At 55.7% G+C, this 1,035-nt stretch overlaps 1 annotated feature.

The window, feature by feature from the left end:
- Nucleotides 243-743: an enhancer, noted in NCBI's record as "H3K4me1 hESC enhancer chr13:72795269-72795769 (GRCh37/hg19 assembly coordinates)". NCBI's record gives its function as "activates a minimal SCP1, AML or CMV promoter by ChIP-STARR-seq in primed H9 embryonic stem cells {active_cell/tissue: H9 hESC(primed)}" and the evidence as "EXISTENCE:reporter gene assay evidence [ECO:0000049][PMID:30033119]".

The raw sequence follows: 1,035 nt of genomic DNA, 5'->3' as shown, positions 1-1,035 counted from the left end.
TGAAGACCCTTAGGGCTCCACAATCCTGCCACAGATTTCTGCAAACCTAGCTACATGAGCGTCCCTTGAACCACAAGGGCTGTGAGACTAACATAGGAAGCTGCCTAGAGATTACACAGAGGAATTGCTACAGAGAGGGAACTCACACTGGACTCCCACAGGCCTCTGAGCCCCGAGCAACAGCAGCTTGGTGCCATTCTGAGAGCGAAGACTCCAAAGGACTGCATCCTGCCCTGATGGCAACGCTGCCACTCCTGCCAAGGAGGGAGAGAAAGGATGGGCACCTTCATGCATTCCAAGGACAAATCCTGTCACTGCTGCTGTGGGCCGCTGGGGGCGCTGAGGAGCAAGCAAGCCACATTCCCTCAGGCACCTACCTACCCTGCTCGCACTGAAAGTGACTCCACCTTCCCAGTGGCAGGCGCCCAGCCAGCACCATTCTGAGAGCCCAACCTCCAAAGGTCTGCATCCTGCCCTGGGGCCAGGGTTGATGTTGCCACTGACTTCCAGGCCAAAGAAGGAGAGGGGAAGCCAGCACTTTCATGCACTTCTAGGAAAAATTCCACTGCTACTGCTGTAGGTCCCTGCTGTGGGAATAAGGCATGAGGAAACTGTGCATCCCATAGCTATCTGCCTACTCTGTTCCCACTGACAGTGGTCCTGTCCTCCCCAGTAGCAGTCCCACAGCACAACTGTCACTGTGATGGATGGGCATTCTGCTGGAAGCCTGGGGATCGCCCCACCCCTGCCTACCACAGCCAGTACCTGAATGCACTACTGAGCAGCCTGAGGACAAGTCCACCTGCCAGGGTCCATCCCCCAAGTACTGAAGCACGTTGTCAGGTACTGGAGGATCACCCTACTTTCCCCAGCACTGTTGGCACCTATACACACCCCCTAGAGGGTGAGATTAGGCTGGTGGGACCTATGGATATGAACACAACTGGATATACATCCTATGAGTAGGCCAGGGGACCTGCCTGACCAACCTATTGCAGCCACTGTCAACACCAGCATTGTCTGCCTGGGTTCCAG

The sequence above is a fragment of the Homo sapiens genome, chromosome 13, assembly GCF_000001405.40.
Source record: "Homo sapiens chromosome 13, GRCh38.p14 Primary Assembly".
Classification (NCBI taxonomy): domain Eukaryota; kingdom Metazoa; phylum Chordata; class Mammalia; order Primates; family Hominidae; genus Homo; species Homo sapiens.
This window is presented reverse-complemented; position numbering and strand designations above follow the sequence as displayed.